This window comes from Homo sapiens, chromosome 14 (genome assembly GCF_000001405.40).
Source record: "Homo sapiens chromosome 14, GRCh38.p14 Primary Assembly".
Classification (NCBI taxonomy): Eukaryota; Metazoa; Chordata; class Mammalia; order Primates; family Hominidae; genus Homo; species Homo sapiens.
This window is the reverse complement of record NC_000014.9, coordinates 82,331,965-82,349,176: the sequence shown is the minus strand read 5'-3', so window position 1 is coordinate 82,349,176 and position 17,212 is coordinate 82,331,965. Positions and strand designations below refer to the sequence as shown.

General features: G+C 37.1%; 2 annotated features.

Annotated features, from left to right (window-relative positions):
• Positions 744–1,314: an enhancer, noted in NCBI's record as "NANOG-H3K27ac-H3K4me1 hESC enhancer chr14:82814207-82814777 (GRCh37/hg19 assembly coordinates)". NCBI's record gives its function as "activates a minimal SCP1, AML or CMV promoter by ChIP-STARR-seq in naive and primed H9 embryonic stem cells {active_cell/tissue: H9 hESC(naive and primed)}" and the evidence as "EXISTENCE:reporter gene assay evidence [ECO:0000049][PMID:30033119]".
• Positions 1,315–1,887: an enhancer, noted in NCBI's record as "NANOG-H3K27ac-H3K4me1 hESC enhancer chr14:82813634-82814206 (GRCh37/hg19 assembly coordinates)". NCBI's record gives its function as "activates a minimal SCP1, AML or CMV promoter by ChIP-STARR-seq in primed H9 embryonic stem cells {active_cell/tissue: H9 hESC(primed)}" and the evidence as "EXISTENCE:reporter gene assay evidence [ECO:0000049][PMID:30033119]".

Here is a 17,212-nt window from a genome sequence, read left to right as displayed (position 1 = left end):
TCCCTTTGAGGGTAACCCGACCTTTCTCTCTGGCTGCCCTTCACATTTTTTCCTTCATTTCAACTTTGGTGAATCTGACAATTATGTGTCTGGAGTTGCTCTTCTCGAGGAGTATCTTTGTGGTGTTCTCTGTATTTCCTGAATCTGAACGTTGGCCTGCCTTGCTAGATTGGGGAAGTTCTCCTGGATAATATCCTGCAGAGTGTTTTCCAACTTGGTTCCATTCTCCACATCACTTTCAGGTACACCAATCAGACGTAGATTTGGTCTTTTCACATAGTCCCATATTTCTTGGAGGCTTTGCTCATTTCTTTTTATTCTTTTTTCTCTAAACTTCCCTTCTCGCTTCATTTCATTCATTTCATCTTCCATTGCTGATACCCTTTCTTCCAGTTGATCGCATCGGCTCCTGAGGCTTCTGCATTCTTCACGTAGTTCTCGAGCCTTGGTTTTCAGCTCCATCAGCTTCTTTAAGCACTTCTCTGTATTGGTTATTCTAGTTATACATTCTTCTAAATTTTTTTCAAAGTTTTCAACTTCTTTGCCTTTGGTTTGAATGTCCTCCCGTAGCTCCGAGTAATTTGATCGTCTGAAGCCTTCTTCTCTCAGCTCGTCAAAGTCATTCTCCATCCAGCTTTGTTCCGTTGCTGGTGAGGAACTGCGTTCCGTTGGAGGAGGAGAGGTCTGTGTTTTAGAGTTTCCAGTTTTTCTGTGCTGTTTTTTCCCCATCTTTGTGGTTTTATCTACTTTTGGTCTTTGATGATGGTGATGTACAGATGGGTTTTCGGTGTGGATGTCCTTTCTGTTTGTTAGTTTTCCTTCTAACAGACAGGACCCTCAGCTGCAGGTCTGTTGGAATACCCTGCCGTGTGAGGTGTCAGTGTGCCCCTGCTGGGGGGTGCCTCCCAGTTAGGCTGCTCGGGGGTCAGGGGTCAGGGACTCACTTGAGGAGGCAGTCTGCCGGTTCTCAGATCTCCAGCTGCGTGCTGGGAGAACCACTGCTCCCTTCAAAGCTGTCAGACAGGGACATTTAAGTCTGCAGAGGTTACTGCTGTCTTTTTGTTTGTCTGTGCCCTGCCCCCAGAGGTGGAGCCTACAGTGGCAGGCTGGCCTCCTTGAGCTGTGGTGGGCTCCACCCAGTTCGATCTGCTTTGTTTACCTAAGCAAGCCTGGGCAATGGCGGGCGCCCCTCCCCCAGCCTCGCTGCCGCCTTGCAGTTTGATCTCAGACTGCTGTGCTAGCAATCAGCGAGACTCCATGGGCATAGGACCCTCCGAGCCAGGTGTGGGATATAGTCTCGTGGTGCGCCGTTTTTTAAGCCGGTCTGAAAAGTGCAATATTCGGGTGGGAGTGACCCGATTTTCCAGGTGCGTCCGTCACCCCTTTCTTTGACTCAGAAAAGGAACTCCCTGACCCCTTGTGCTTCCCAGGTGAGGCAATACCTCGCCCTGCTTCAGCTCACGCACCGTGCGCGCACCCACTGGCCTGCGCCCACTGTCTGGCACTCCCTAGTGAGATGAACCCGGTACCTCAGATGGAAATGCAGAAATCACCCGTCTTCTGCGTAGTTCATGCTGGGAGCCGTAGACGGGAGCTGTTCCTATTCGGCCATCTTGGCTCCTCCCCCATCCAGAACACTATTTTAAATTTTAAAAAGACTAAGTAGATAAAACCAGATAAAAACAATGGATTTATTAGCATACTTAAAGAAGATGTAAGCCCCCATATGTGTGTGTGTATGTGTATATACATATACATATATACGTATATACACATACACACAACACACACATACATATAAACATATATTTTCATCTGAAAATGAATATAAAAGAAATATACTATATTTTTATCAGAAGTATCCTTCGGGCTAGGCATGTTGGCTCACGCCTGTAATCCCAACACTTTAGAAGGCCAAGATGGGTGGATTGCTTTCAGCTCAGGAGGCCAAGACTAGCCTGGGCAACGTGGCAAGACCCCGTTTCTACAAAAAATTAGCCAGGTATTGGTGGCTTGTGCCTGTAGTCCCAGCTACAGTGAGTATCCAGCTTCTCTGAGCCCGGAGAATCACCTGAGCTTGGGAATTGGAGGCTGCAGTGAGCCAAGATCTTGCTACTGCACTCCAGCCTGGCTGACAAAGTGAGACCCTGTCTCGAAAAAAAAAAAGTCTCCTTGGGAGAAAAGGGACAGTAAGTAGTGGGGAGTAAGAAAAGAACTTCCACTTTTCATAACATATACTTGCTTAAAACATTTATGATAAAAAGTATACTCTGTGTTATCAGGTTAATAACAAAAAGCAGAATAGAAAAATTTTAAGAGAAAATAGATTGACAAAATATTGCTGGAATATTTAAATGGTTTATGTAGTAATCATGGAGAAAGATGTTTGTTGTTCAGCATTGATGCTGGAGGAGACAAAGAGAAATGAATGAATTTTAAAGTATATTTTATACATAGAATCAACCATTAGAACTTGGTAATGGATTAGTTGCGCCAGACAGAAGAATGACATCTATTATCCAGAAATGAAAACCAGGAGGTTAGAGATACCATGAAATAAGATGATGGGGACATTAGCAGGATAAATTTGGAATGAAAATATCAAGTATTCTCTCGCACATCAGTTAAGTTTGAGATGTCTGCTTACCCCAGTGGAGATGTCAAGTAGGCAGCCACAATGGTCAGCAGGGAGGTCAGTTCAGGTATTAAGAATAGAAGAAAGAATAAATTTTGAAAGCTACTGACAGTATACCAAGCATGACATTTTGCTGTAGTTGTTCCTATGTGATCCAGGAATTTTATCAATACCATTATTTCATCATTTATATCACTAGTACCAATGCAAATAGCATTTCCTCTTCTATACTGACATGTATGTGTTTGTGCTTGTGTGTGTGTATGTGTGTGTGTGTGTGTGTGGATGTGTTTAATCATCTAGAAATTCTCTTAGCTTAATGTTAGAAAACACGGTGCTCAAGAAATGTAGTAATGTTTATACAAAGAATGCTAACAAGAATAGCCAAACACTTTAAGAAAACAAAACTAATATAAAAGTAAAAGCTCACAATTGTCTACATGCCTATTATTTACATATGGAAAGCACAGCCCTATAAAATTTTTTTCTTTGTGTGTGACTATCTAGGGTAGTGGTTCCCAAAGTATGGTCCCCAGACCAGTATTATTAGCACCACATGGGAATTTATTTGAAATTCAAATTATTGAGCCTTATCCCAGACCCACCGTATCAGAAATCTAGGATGGAGTCCAGTAATCAGTGTTTCAACAAGCCCACCATCCCAATCTGATGTACCTTCAAGTTTGAGAATCACTGATTTAGAAAAACTGTTACTACTTCTACAACCCTGTTTGCATAGAGCACCTGAGACTATTTAGGAGGAGTTTGATGATAAAGTTACAGAGGACTTGGTTATTCAGTGAGGAAATAAAAAGAAGCTATTTCATTTAAGTTTAGGCAGAAGTTAACTTCCATTCTGTACATGAATTTTGATTGGCACTGATGCTGACCTTTTGGAAGTCTGAGGCTCCTGGCACAAATGCTTTTAATCTAGTACAGATTTTTGACCTCATCATTGACAGAAAGTTGGCATTTCTGATACACAAAGACAAGACTATCTGACCTTTTTGCATTGCAATGATTGTCATGATTGGCAGGCCTTGGCCTCTCTTTTGAAGAGATGTGGCACTTGGCACTCTCAAATCATATAAAGAACCTTCATCCTGTCCTCTACAGCTTGAGCATGACAGATTGCCCCATCTGGTGATATTCTGAGATCCTGTTGTTTCAATGAGTTTGTGGATGACTATCAGCTTCCTGATGACAGACAGTGTGTAGGCTGGCAGCTGCCATGCTGATGTCCTTAGCTAGCAGTGATACTGTTTGACAGCCAGGACCTTTACTTGAGCATAGTGAGAGTTGATATCAACTCAGCAAAGAGGTAACACTGAAATCTAGCCCACAGATCACATTACCTATGGCATTCTGCTAAGAAAATAAGGCATGTAGGAGGCAAAGCAGGATATACTTACTACTTTTATCACTTGTGAAGTCAATATAGACTGAAATACATGCTTTTGTTTAACTTGTACCTCCTTGCTACATCTAAAGAAAAAAATCATCATTATCATCATCATCATCATCATCAACATCATCATCATCATCATCCTTAGCCAAGAAAGATGCAAGAGGAAATAAAACAAGTAAGTTTTTCCCTTAGGGTGCTTATAATCAATTTGGCAAAAAGATGGACATATGTTCACACGTAAAGAGGCAGCTATTCAGCTCTGGCTTATTGGTATCTTAGGGGCATGAACAAACTCTTCCATTTTACAAAAATTTGGAAATGAATATTTCATGTAAAGCAGCATTCCACCCCAATTTGTAATGTTTTAACTAATTCAAATCTAAAACGATCTGCAGACCTATGTTATGTGGGGAAAACAGAACATGTTTGTGTGTTGGAGGCAGCCCTTTGGTTCCGCTTTTGACCTCTGAAACAGGTTTTGGTCCTCATATTTCACCATCTCATGGTGTCCTCTTATAAAACTCCTCCTCCTGCAACCAAAATAATCCAAACACTTTTTTATAAAGTAGCCAATTATCAAGACAGAGAGAAAAATAAGTTTCAATTTTAACTTCAATTATAGAAGTATTTGTGTTTAAGAATCTCTTGTAATAAAGTCCTGGGTCCCTAAAGCACATTAAACCACCACCAGTTGAAAATATCTCAGATGGGTCCATATATCCATACAGTTATTCAGGTGCATACATCCTTACTAAGGGAAACTCCACAATTGCATAAATCTTTCACAACAAATAAGGGAAAATGAATGATCACTGCTCTTGGCATTCAACTCTCCTGATTGCTGAGAGGAAATTGAAGAATAGGAGAAAGGGGAGGATTCAGGATGCCACCCCATTTGACACCTCACAGAAACATAAATATAGAATGTTAGGGAGTTGTATACATGTGGTAGGGAAAAGCAAATAAAGAGGAATGCAAAGAAAGTTGCTTCATTATTGATGGTTCTTAAATTTGCTACATGCGAGAATCACTTGGGAAGCTTTTAAAGCTCTGCTGCCCAGGCCATACCCACATCTATAAAATCATTGTCTCTAGCACCAGAACACAGGCATCCATGACTCCATATACAGCCAACTTTGAGAATACTACACAGTAGTAAGTGTGGTGAAATTCAGGATACAGTTGAGCTATAAACCCATTATTTAAAGCAGAAAAGTGAGAGGAGAGGGAACGAAGGGATGTGTAATTTTCTAATGCCTACAAATCTCACTTCTTTTGTGGGCTGACCCCTCCACCCATTTTATTCAGGCATTCTCCTTTTTAAATTTTCAGCAAAATTGTGATTCCCATTTCAACCATAAACTCAAAACATTTTATTACCTGACCATTAAATGTTTTCACCAACTAACCTCTCTGTCTGCCATTTTTCTTTTCATGAGTCCTTTCTATATAGATGTTGCTGCCAAGTTAATCTTGCCATGACCCCACCATTATAATCTTTCATATCTGCTCAAAATTTTAAATGACTTGTTTATCTCCTCGGCTACCTGAGTTCTCCAGAATTACGTTATTCTTTTTTAATAAACATAAATATAATACTATGTGGTTGGTATTATTCTTAGAACTTTGTAACATTTATTTATTGAATCATGCTGGCAACTCTATGAGGGAGGTATTTTTATTATCTTTATTTTAAAAATGAGTATACAGAGGCAGAGTGAGCTCAAGTACTTTGCCCAGAGTTACAAACATGGTCAGGGGTAGTTACTGACATTCAGCAAATGAAGTTTGGCTCCAAAGACTACATTCCCATTCTATTAGCCTTCCCTTCTTATCTTTTCTGTTGCAGCCAAATTCTTCAATTACTTTCACCTCAATCTATAATCACAATATCAGTTCTGATTTGGGCACTGTAACTTGTTCTCCCTTCTCTGTTTCCCCTCTTTTCCTTTTTTCATATTTTCTTCCGTGGCTATGTCTGAACACTTACATCTTGTGTCAAACACTAGAAAGAGTTTCTGCCACCAAGGGGACACGGACAATAAAGAACTGTCATGCAACAATTTATTTTCCAAGGACCAACTGAAATCCCACTCTCTGCAATAACTTGCTTGGTAACTCAGGTCAGAAGAGATGGCTTGGTTCCCTCAAATTTATACCTCACATAGTTGATATGATTTATTTTTTGGCAACTAATCCTACAATTTATGTTTTTAGGTAATAATCCATCTCTCCAATAGATAAATTACTTTGGGAGAGGATCACTCTTTTTTATTGTTTTAATATTTTAGCAAATATTAAAATAATAATTAAATATATAAAATAATAAAACATAAATAAAATAAAAATAAATTAAAAGTATTTTAAATATTTTAGCAAATATTTTTGAGTCATGTCTCTGTATCAGGTCCTTTTGTATTTGCCAAGAAAAGTGTTGAGTAAAACAAAATACCTGTTCTCATCCACATGGAGCCTACATGACCAGCAGCTTGTCTTTCTCTAGTAGCTTGTATTTCTCCTTACAGATTTGAAAATAATAACAGTGAAGCTTAGGAAAGATTGAGTAAAATAATGAGAGGAATAAAAACAGAGGAGACCAATAATACTGTCATCTACGTTAATATTGAGGGATGATTACTTGTGCCAAAAGAGCGTTTATTGGAAGTAATATTTTTTAATTGTCTACCATCTTTTGTAACCAAAGGTGTTAGGCCATTCTTACGTTGCTATAAAGAAATACCTGAGCCTGGGTAATTTACGAAGAAGAGAAGTTTGATTGGCTCACAGTCCTGCAGGCTATACGGGAAGCATGATGCAGACATCTGCTAGTTTCTGGGGAGGCCTCAGGAAGCTTCTACTCATAGCAGAAGGTGAAGCTGGAGCAAGCACATCACATGGGGAAAGCAGAAGCAAGAGAGGGGAGGGAGGTACCACACACTTTTAAACTACCAAACCTCATGAGAACTTACCCACTATCACAAGGACAGCACTAAGCCAGTCATGAGGGATCCACCCCCATGGCCCAATAACCTCCCACCAGGCCCCACCTCCAACACGGGGATTATATTTTAACAGCAGATTTGGGCAGAGATATATATTCAAACCATATCACCAGACCACCAGGATCAGGGAAGTTGTATATACAAAATGTGAATAATATTCACTATTTGGAGACTTTTAGAAAATAAATAAGTATGTCCTATATCTAGGGATGTGGTCCCCAATTATATCACGATTTAGAAAAAAATTAATATTTTAAAATTCTGAATGTTTTGTTCAAGATGGAACCTACTTAATTACAAGGCTGTAAAAAGAATGTATGACTTTTGCTTGGAATTAAGCTCCTGGTCTAAACACTGGAGCACTTTTTGATTATAAAGTAAAGTTATAGTCATTTCTAATCCTAAATAATTTGGGCCAAATAGATTTTGCATGTGATATTTATGACTCATATACTGTGTTCTGTAAAACTTCCCCCAAAGACTCATTAAATCTGTTTTATGAGTATTTTTCCCAGCCTTGAACTTTCATTAACTGGAAGGAAGAGAATAAAGCCCATTTACAATGCCACCAGATCCATGCCAAGGCCCTTGCTTGACGGATGTCTTCCTAATGAATTATACGTATTGTAAACAGTAGTATATGCCAGCCAAAAGTTTTCATTAATTTTTCATTAATGAAATGCACCACTTAGCTTGTTTGACATTTAACCAAGCTACATAAATTTAAGCTAGATAGAGGTCACCATAGAAAAGCATTTGCAAGTGTCACTGAAGAAACAAGCTAGCAGCTGCTCCACCTCTTAACACAAATCCTGCCCCAAACCATGTTCCAGTTTACCACCAACAGATTAATAAAACATGGAACAAATCAATGATACCGTAATCAGCTGCTAGTGGCTGATTTTAAATTTAGTTCTCTATGCTACTATTTAAGAACATTGTGTGTTTTTAATAGTTTCTCCTTCATTTTTGGTTCCCAAATGGACAGCATAGCCATCAGTTACCTGGAGGCATTTTGGTTCTAAATGCTGCAAGTGCTGTGTATTTCAGACCCTCCCTGCTTTCTAATATCTAGCTTCCACCATGTGTTTCAGGTTTCAAAAAAAAAAAAAAAAACCCATGTGAATAAGGTAAAAATACTCTTAAACTGTAGTTAAATACACTGTGACGACAGGAAATCCACACACCTACATAACCTGCAAAACCCAAAGCTTTCATGCCAAAGAATTCCCAGAAAAGTGAAAAATAGCTAGTCTTTAAAATATAAGGTTTTGGAAAAGAATTCTCTTTCCCTTCATTCTTGATACTCTTAGGAGTTCAGCTCACTTAAAGCATAACAATTCTATAGCAACTCAGGTAACTCTAAGTTCTTCTAATTGATACATGTGTAATTGCTAATGTCTACCTGATAGAGATGGGCTTAGGATCCAGGCAGAGCTGAGCTTACAGAGGACATTATATCTTGAGTTCTTTCAACCTGAAGAAAGCAAAAGCCAACAGAAAATGATATTTTTGTTCGCCGCAGGTTATATACAGTCCGTGTTCAATAGGAGCAAAAAACTATGCTTTTGCTTCTATTGAACACGGACTGTATATATCCTGCGGCGAACAAAAATATCAACAACATCACAATGATATTACAATATCATCACAAATGATATGGTTGTGCTCCCTCTCCATGTTGGTCAGGAGGGCAGGTACATTTTCAATTTCACAAAGGTTTATTATGCTCAGATTCTGTGCATAATACTATGCCAGGCACAGAGAATACAAAGAAATATTCTCTTTGTTCCTACTCTCCAAGAGTTTATTTCAGTAGTGGAAACAGACATAATCGGACCATGTTAATATCTTCAGGTAGTGCGGTAATTATCCTTAGCGAACTAATAAAGGAACAGAAAGCCAAATACCACATATTCTTACTTACAAGTGTGAGCTAAATGATGAGAACACATTGAAACATAGAGGGGAGCAACACACAATGGGGCCTATTGGAGGGTGGAGTGGTAGGAGGAGGGAGAGGATCAGGAAAATTATCTAATGGTTACTAGGCTTAATAGGTGGGTGAAGAAATAATCTGTACAACAAACCCTTATGATACAAGTGTACCTATGTAACAAATCTGCACATGTACCTCTGACCTTAAAATAAAAGCTAAAAAAAGAAAAAGAATATAACATTCTTACACCGTTTTCTCAAACCATAAGATTCAACTAAATCCATCCCTGGTTGCAAGGTAGATTCTACTTGTTACTCTCTTCTTTGAGAGATTCTCAGTTTCATTTCATTTTATCAAACACAAGACATTCCAAAAGTTCCTTTCAGATGTACTAGCACATTTCCACATAAAATATGTTATATAATAAATGAATAAAGAAAATAAGAATATGTAATATTTATCTAATAAGAGCAATGCCTTTCTTGAAATTCTGTTGCTGAGAACCAGGGTTGAACCACAGAGTCTTTCTTTTAGTTATACTCTGGCCATCAATCTTACATCCCCAAGCATGTTTCTCTCCTCTGGAGATTCTCCTGGGATTCATTTTTATTTCCTTCCTTCTTTCAATCTATCATCATTCACTTTTTAACCTAGAGTTTATTACCCCACTTTAGCCCACTCCCCAGCAATACTGCTTCAGAGAGATCAGCATTTCCCCAGCCTCTAATTTTCTTGCTATTCCTCAGTAGAATACAAAAGATTTCTGTTTTTAGAGTACCTCTGCCAATCGTTTAGTAAGGCAGCCTCAATTTCATTAACAATAAATTTCCTTAGAGCAATGTCAAGGAGAGAAGAAAACAGTACAAACTAAATCTGTACTGGTGATTCTTATGAAAAAAAGGGGTGGAGAGCAGGGGTGATTTAAATACAGAGTTAAGAGAAACACTTACTAAACCCTTCACATATTCCTGAACCATCTTTGCATCACCCACTAGTTTTCTCACTCCATGCAGTTATTCTTTTGCCTCTCAAGTGAGGGGAAAGAACAACTCAAGTACTAGACTATCAGGTTTTTCTTTCAAATCACCTGACCACTTAAGTAATTTATTATACAGCTATACATTATCTTTAAGTCATATCCTTTGATCTTGCTCAAGTCCTTATTACAGGTCTATTTTAATATTATTCAAATACCAGAGATGTATCCTGCTTTCTCTTCCTTCTTCCTGTCATAAAGGTACCTTTCTCCTAGAAAGCCTGTCCTACCCCACCTTAAAAAAGACGTGTAAGCCATGAGGGCATGGGAAAGAAGTAGAAAGTAGAAGTAATTTAAAGCTATCCTATTCCTATATTATCATATCTACCTGGAGAACTACAGGACAAATGCCATCCATCTCTATTTCTTCATAACTCTTGTCACTCTCTGACTATAGAACTAGTTCATATAATTATTAAATAATAGGTATAACAAAACTGCTTGTTTTATGTATTTAAATTATCAGGTTTTGATAACAGAAGCCTGAGAAATTTTTTTGCAAACCAATTAAATTTAGAAATCAGATTTTTCAACACACACACACACACACATGCACACACACACTTAAAAAGTAACCTTCTGTTTTTCTCTCTTCTCTTATATATCCATCTGGTTCCTCATCTTGGATGACTCACTGAGACTTCTGTCCTCATTCCCAGTGAAAGATGACATCTCTATCTAGTTCCTCATCAAATAAAATGGAGAGTGGTGATTTTTCTATCTCCCCCTTCCTATTACCCAAATAATAAAAACATTTTAATTACTTCCTAAATATGTATTGAATCCATTCTCCCTATCCTTGCCATTATTGCCTTCCTGTAGGCCGTCATTATCTTTTCACTGCTTTGTCTAATCGCCTCTTCAAAATTTTGGTTCCCAAAATACTCATGGTAATCCTCCTGGCTACCAATATAGGATTCTTTTAAAATACAAATATGACCATCTCATTTCCCTGCTCAAAAGTGTTCAATGACTCCCAGACAAATATAAGATAAATAGAAAGCTACTTACCATTATCTTTCATGATTTTGCTTCCTGTCCATATTAGCCAGTTTTTTAAAATTTTTGCACTAGTTACAGCATATACTTGTACTTCGCATTCCAGATAAGCTAAACAGCTTGGAATTGTCCTAAGTTCCACAGTTTATATATCCTGAATACAATACCCGTTCCCTAAAGCTGTTCTTCATTCTCATTTATCTTGCAAACTTATCTTCCCCAAAAACTATGCAGATAGTTTCTCCTATAAATCTTGCACTAACACTCCATGAAAGCTTCAATCACTTTTTCTACTGTACTATTTCTATATCGTATATAAACATACACCACTGTTGATTCCAAATGCATTATACATATTTATGTATCTCTTTGTTTTGCTAGGCCAGCATTTTTGAAACCAAGGTTGCAAAATATTGGTGAATCATGAATTAGAAGAAGAATGCAAAGGACAGGATAGGGTTGGATAGAATGTGGTATATTACATACAGCAAGGATATAATTGCTTCATTAAATTCTTATTTCAATATGAAGAGAAGGTGAAGAGTAGAGAGGAGAGAGAGACACAGAGAGAGAGAGGTGTCATATACTGGCAAGTGATACATAAAGAATTTTTGTGGGTCATAGCGAAAAAAATGAATGTGACTATATTGGTGTGTAAGTATATTGCTATAGGATTAATTTTGTAATAATTTAAATAATAACAATGTCATTCATGTATAAGTACCTACTTAAAACCAGGTGCTGGCCTTCGTGCCAAATAAATAATTATTTATATTGTAACCATCATCCTGCAAAATAGAGACCATCATTCCCATTTTACAAATGAAGACAGGTTTTGGATCTTTTATTTGTCAAATTCAATTCCACTGATTTGGATGCATATTATTTCTCTCTCTCTTGTTTTTATTTTGAGACATGGTCTCACTCTGTCATCCAGGCTGGAGTGCAGTGGGATGAGGATGGCTCACTGTAGCCTTCACCTCCCAGGCTCAGGCAATCCTCCCACCTCAGCCTCCTGAGTAGCTGGGACCACAAGCATGTGCCATCATACCTGGCTAATTTATTTTTATTTTTATTTTTTGTAGAGAGAGGGTCTCCCTATGTTGTCCGGACTGGTCTCAAACTACTGGTCTCAAGTGATCCTCCCGCCTTGGTTTCCAAACTGTTGGGATTACAGGCATGACTCACCATGCCTGGTCCATGTCTAGTTCTAACCCACTTCTTTGATAAGTGCATTTTCACCAGTCATATACGAACAACTTGACACATTAAAGATTAGAGAACCACCCATGAAAGATAAGTACTTTTTCCTTAGGCAAACAGCAATGTTGAAATTTACACCACGTCTATATGGTCCCCAAATGTATACCCTTTCCACCACTTCATACTGCCTTAATTTTCTAATCCTATTAGACTCTAACCCTATTAGATTCCTATTAGACACCTGCTATGTAAGAGCTGATAAAACTTCCATGATATTCATGGAGTTTTAATATAACGTGATTGAGCCCTATTTGAATGTGTAGAAGTTATTAAAACATATCCGGGCGAGCTCTATTTGAATGTGTAGAAGTTATTAAAACCCGGAGCCGGGTACGGTGGTTCACGCCGGTAATCCCAGCACTTTGGGAGGCTAAGGCAGGCGGATCACGAGGTCAGGAGATTGAGATCATCCTGGCTAACACGGTGAAACCCCGTCTCTACTAAAAATACAAAAAATTAGCCGGGCGTGGTGGCGGGCGCCTCTAGTCCCAGCTACTTGGGAGGCTGAGGCAGGAGAATGGCGTGAACCTGGGAGGCGGAGCTTGCAGTGAGCCAAGATGGCGCCACTGTACTCCAGCCCCCGCGACAGAGGGAGACTCCGTCTCAAAAAAAAAAAGTTATTAAAACACCTTCTTTGCTCTCCAAAAGCAAGGAATAAAAATGACATCAATAAAAAGGACAAAATATTAATAATACAAGTACATGTGCAAAAATGTGCATTATGACCCAAGTATAGGAATTGGCCTATTTGTAGACAGGCACAAAGAGAAACATATATGGGGCATTCAAAACCATTAATAATGCTGGCTTTGGCTACTAATAAGCCTTATAAACAAACCCAGGTCAAACTAGAAATCAACCCAGAGTCACTATTGTTTAAACTTTTTTCAGAAGTATCATTAAGGTTTTTTTTTTGAAAAGTAATTTTTTGATAGTTAAAATTTTATTAAAATTTTTATTTGTGTAGATTTATGGGGCACATGTGCAGATTTGCTACATGCATGTATTGTATAGTGTTTCAGTGGTGAAGTCTGGGCTTTGAGTGTAACCATCACTCAAACAGTGTGCATTGTGTCCATTAGGTAATTTATCATTCTTCACCCCCCTCACTTTCTCACCTTCCCAAGTCTCCAGTATCTATTCCATTCTCTATGCCATGTGTACACATTACTTCAATCCCACCTATAAGTTAGAACATTCAATATTTGACTTTCTGTTTCTGAGTCATTTCATTTGAGATTATGGCCTCCAGTTCCATCATGTTGCTACAAAAGCCATAATTTTATTCCCCTAGAGTCTTGTTTTTTTAAAGAAAATAAAACCTTTGAACTTATTAATACCAAGTGCAAGGAGGTTTCCAAATACATTTCCTTGCTTAACATTCTTATCTCAAGTATATGAAGTTTCAATATTGTGTTGGCTATTCTGGGTCACTGGCCTATCCATATAAATTTTACATTCAGCTTGTCAATATTCATAAAATAACTTGTTGGGATTTGTATTGAGAGTGCATTGAATCTATAAATCAAGTTGAGAAAAACTAACATTTTGACAATACTCAGTCTTTCTGTCCATGAACATGGAGTATCTCTCCACTTACGTAGTTGTCCTTTGATTTCTTTCATCAGAGTTCTAGTTTTTCTTGTACAGATCTTGTAACTATTTTGTTAGACTTATTGATATGGTTTGGCTCTGTGTTCCCACCCAAATCTCATCTCAAATTGTAATCCCCATATCACTTGGTGTTGAGGGAAGGACCACGTAGGAGGTGACTGGATCATGGGGGCAGTTTCCCCCATGCTGTTCTCATGATAGTGAGTTCTCATGAAATCTAACAGTTTTACAAGGAGTTTTCCCTGCTCTTGCCCACTCTCTCTCTTGCCTGCCACCATGTAAGATGTTCCTGCTTCCTCTTCTGCCATGACTGTAAGTTTCCTGAGGCCCACCCCCAGCCATGTGGAACTGTGAATCAATTAAACCTCTTTTCTTTATAAATTACCCAGTCTCGGGCAGTTCTTTATAGCAGTACAGACTAATACACTTATACTTTAGCATTTTATTTTTGGATGTGCTACTGTAAATAATATTGTGTTCTGAATTTCAATTTCCATTTGTTCATTGCTGGTATGTAAAAAAGCAATAGATTTTTGTATATTTACCTTGTATTCTGCAACCTTGCTGTAACTGATTGTTAGTTCCAGGAGGTTTTTTTTTTTTTTTTTTTTTTGTCTATCCTTCTGGATTTTCTAGATAGACAATCATGTAATCCGTGAATGAAGATAACTTTATTTCTTCTTTCTGAATCATATACATTTTCTGTCCTTATCTTATTGCATTAAGTAGGACTTCCAGTACAACCCTGAAAATCTGCGGTGAGAGGAGATAGTCTTACCTTGTTTCTGATCTAGATTCTCACCATTATGTAGAATGTTAGCTGTAAAATGTTTGTAGATACTATTTATTAAGTCAAGGTAGTGTCCATCGATTCCTAGCTAGCTAAGGGTTTTTGTCATGAGTGAATGTTGGATTTTATCAAGTGCTTTCTATACCTATTGATATGATTATGTGATTTTACTTTTTTATTCTGTTCATGTGATGGATTAATTAATTGATTTTCAAATTGAACCAGCCTTACATCCTCAGGATAATTGCAACTGGTCATGGTATACAATTCTTTTATACATTATTGGGTTTGATTTGCTCATTTTTTATTGTGAAAGGAAACTATTAATTTTAACTTAAATATTTTAAGTGGGTGAAAAATCTGATTAGATATTTTATAACAGAAGATGAACAGATGGCAAATAAGCACATAAAATATGCTCACCATTATTTTTTGCTAAAAAAATTATAGGTTAACTCCACAATGAGATACCATGAAATACCAATTAGAATGATCAAAAATTAAAGCCAAAATCCAACCACAACAGAAACTAATCAAGTGCTGGCAAAGATGCAAAGCAACAAGAACCATTTTACCTTCCAATAGGAAGTAAAATGGTATCATCACTTGGATTATAGTTTGGCTGTTTTTTGTAATGTCAAATATCACACAGCCCAGCAACCCTCTGTGGGCACTTACCTAGAGCAGTTATAATTAATGGTCACACAAAGTGTTTAAACAAGCTTTAAACACAACCACTCAAAACTTGAAGCTCTTAATATCTTTAAACTGGTAAATAGATGAACTGCTAGATATTTATACTACAGAATGCTATTAAGGGAAAAAACAAACCAAAAAAAACCCCAAATTATTGGTTCACAATAAAAATGTGGGTGAATATCAAATGCATTCTGCTAATTGAAAAACCACATATTATATTATTTCACTTATATGACATTCCAGAAAAAGCAAAATTATAGGGTTAGAGAATAGATCAGTGAATTCCAGGAGCTAGGCATGTGGAGTGAAGGTGATTACAATGAGGCAGCAGAGGAACTTTTTTAGAAGCCAGAAGTGTTCTCTATCTTGACCATGGCAGTGGATACACAATTGTATGAAGTTCTCAAAACTCACAGAGTTGTACATCACAAAAAGCAGATTTTATTAAATGTAAATTTCTAAAAATTGCATAAACCTATGACTGGGAAGGCCTTGAACTCTTTCACTCCTCTTAGAAACAACTATAAAACATAATCTTTTTACTAAATAACCTATTTAAAACAAATCATGAATTATCATTTGGCTATAATGTCCAATTATATATGATAAAGAACAAGAATGCTCAGAATAAAGAACTCAATTCAGATAAGAAAAAAATGTGGTGTCAGGATCCCTGTTAGACTTATACCTTAGCATTTAAGCAAAAACTCAAAATAAGCTTATATGACTGGGTCTGCAATCAATTCCTTTTTAGTGAATGGTTCTGACTTTACACTCTGGTCATAAACAAGTTTTGTGTTAGTGTATCAGAGCTACAAACAATGAGTAAATTCAGAGAATAAATACAAGTTAATTTTCTTATAGTGCCATACACTATACCTCTTTAAATGCCAATTATTTTACACAAATCACAGAGTAAAGTATATGTGAGTTGATTATACATGGAAAAACATTGCTATCTTGAAAACAGCACAAGTGCTATTCCTATTTCTCATAGACTTTTAGTAAATAATTTGTAATAATAAACATGACAATAAAATTAGGAAAAAATTAATTTACCATATATAATTTTAAAGCAATATAATCAAACTGTCTATCTAAAAACATAGCTAAAATCTAAAAGTATTTATTAGTGGTGAAGGGGGATATTCATAGAAATAGCTATTTATAGAAATGGATATTCTGTTAAAGCCAATGAGAGTTTTTCTATGAATTATTATTACCTTTATGGCAAGATAATAGTCTTTCATTCTCTGTATCCATATAAACCAAACACAAGACAGGCCTACAGTTTGCTAAGACTTTAACTAGACTCACTTATGAACTATGTACTGTTCAGAATAATACAAATATTAAAGAATGACCAAGTCTCTTTTTGAGAACAATAAGCCCTAGGAATTTAAAAATAAAATTATAAGTATTACAAATACCGATAGACCTTAACATTTCAAATCTAAATGTATCAGAGTGGGGTTCTGATGAATGGAAATGTTCTAGAATGTTTTAGTTCTAGAATGAAAAGTATAAATGAAATCAAAATAATTAATGTTTGAACTTCTATACTACAAATTTAGTCACATCCACTGATACAAACCTGACCATTCTATAATGAATCACTCATCTAAACATTTAGTAATATATGTGGAAGCCTGGAATGGTAGTCTACGTGAAATACTGTTACCTATTATGGTAAGACATGCTGCTGATTAGCAAAGGTAAAAAGTTTACACATGGAGTTGAATCCACATCAGAATATTGGAGTCAAAATGCTCAATACATCAATTTCAGCCACTAAAAGTACTTTATTAGAATGAGGCTCTGGAACAT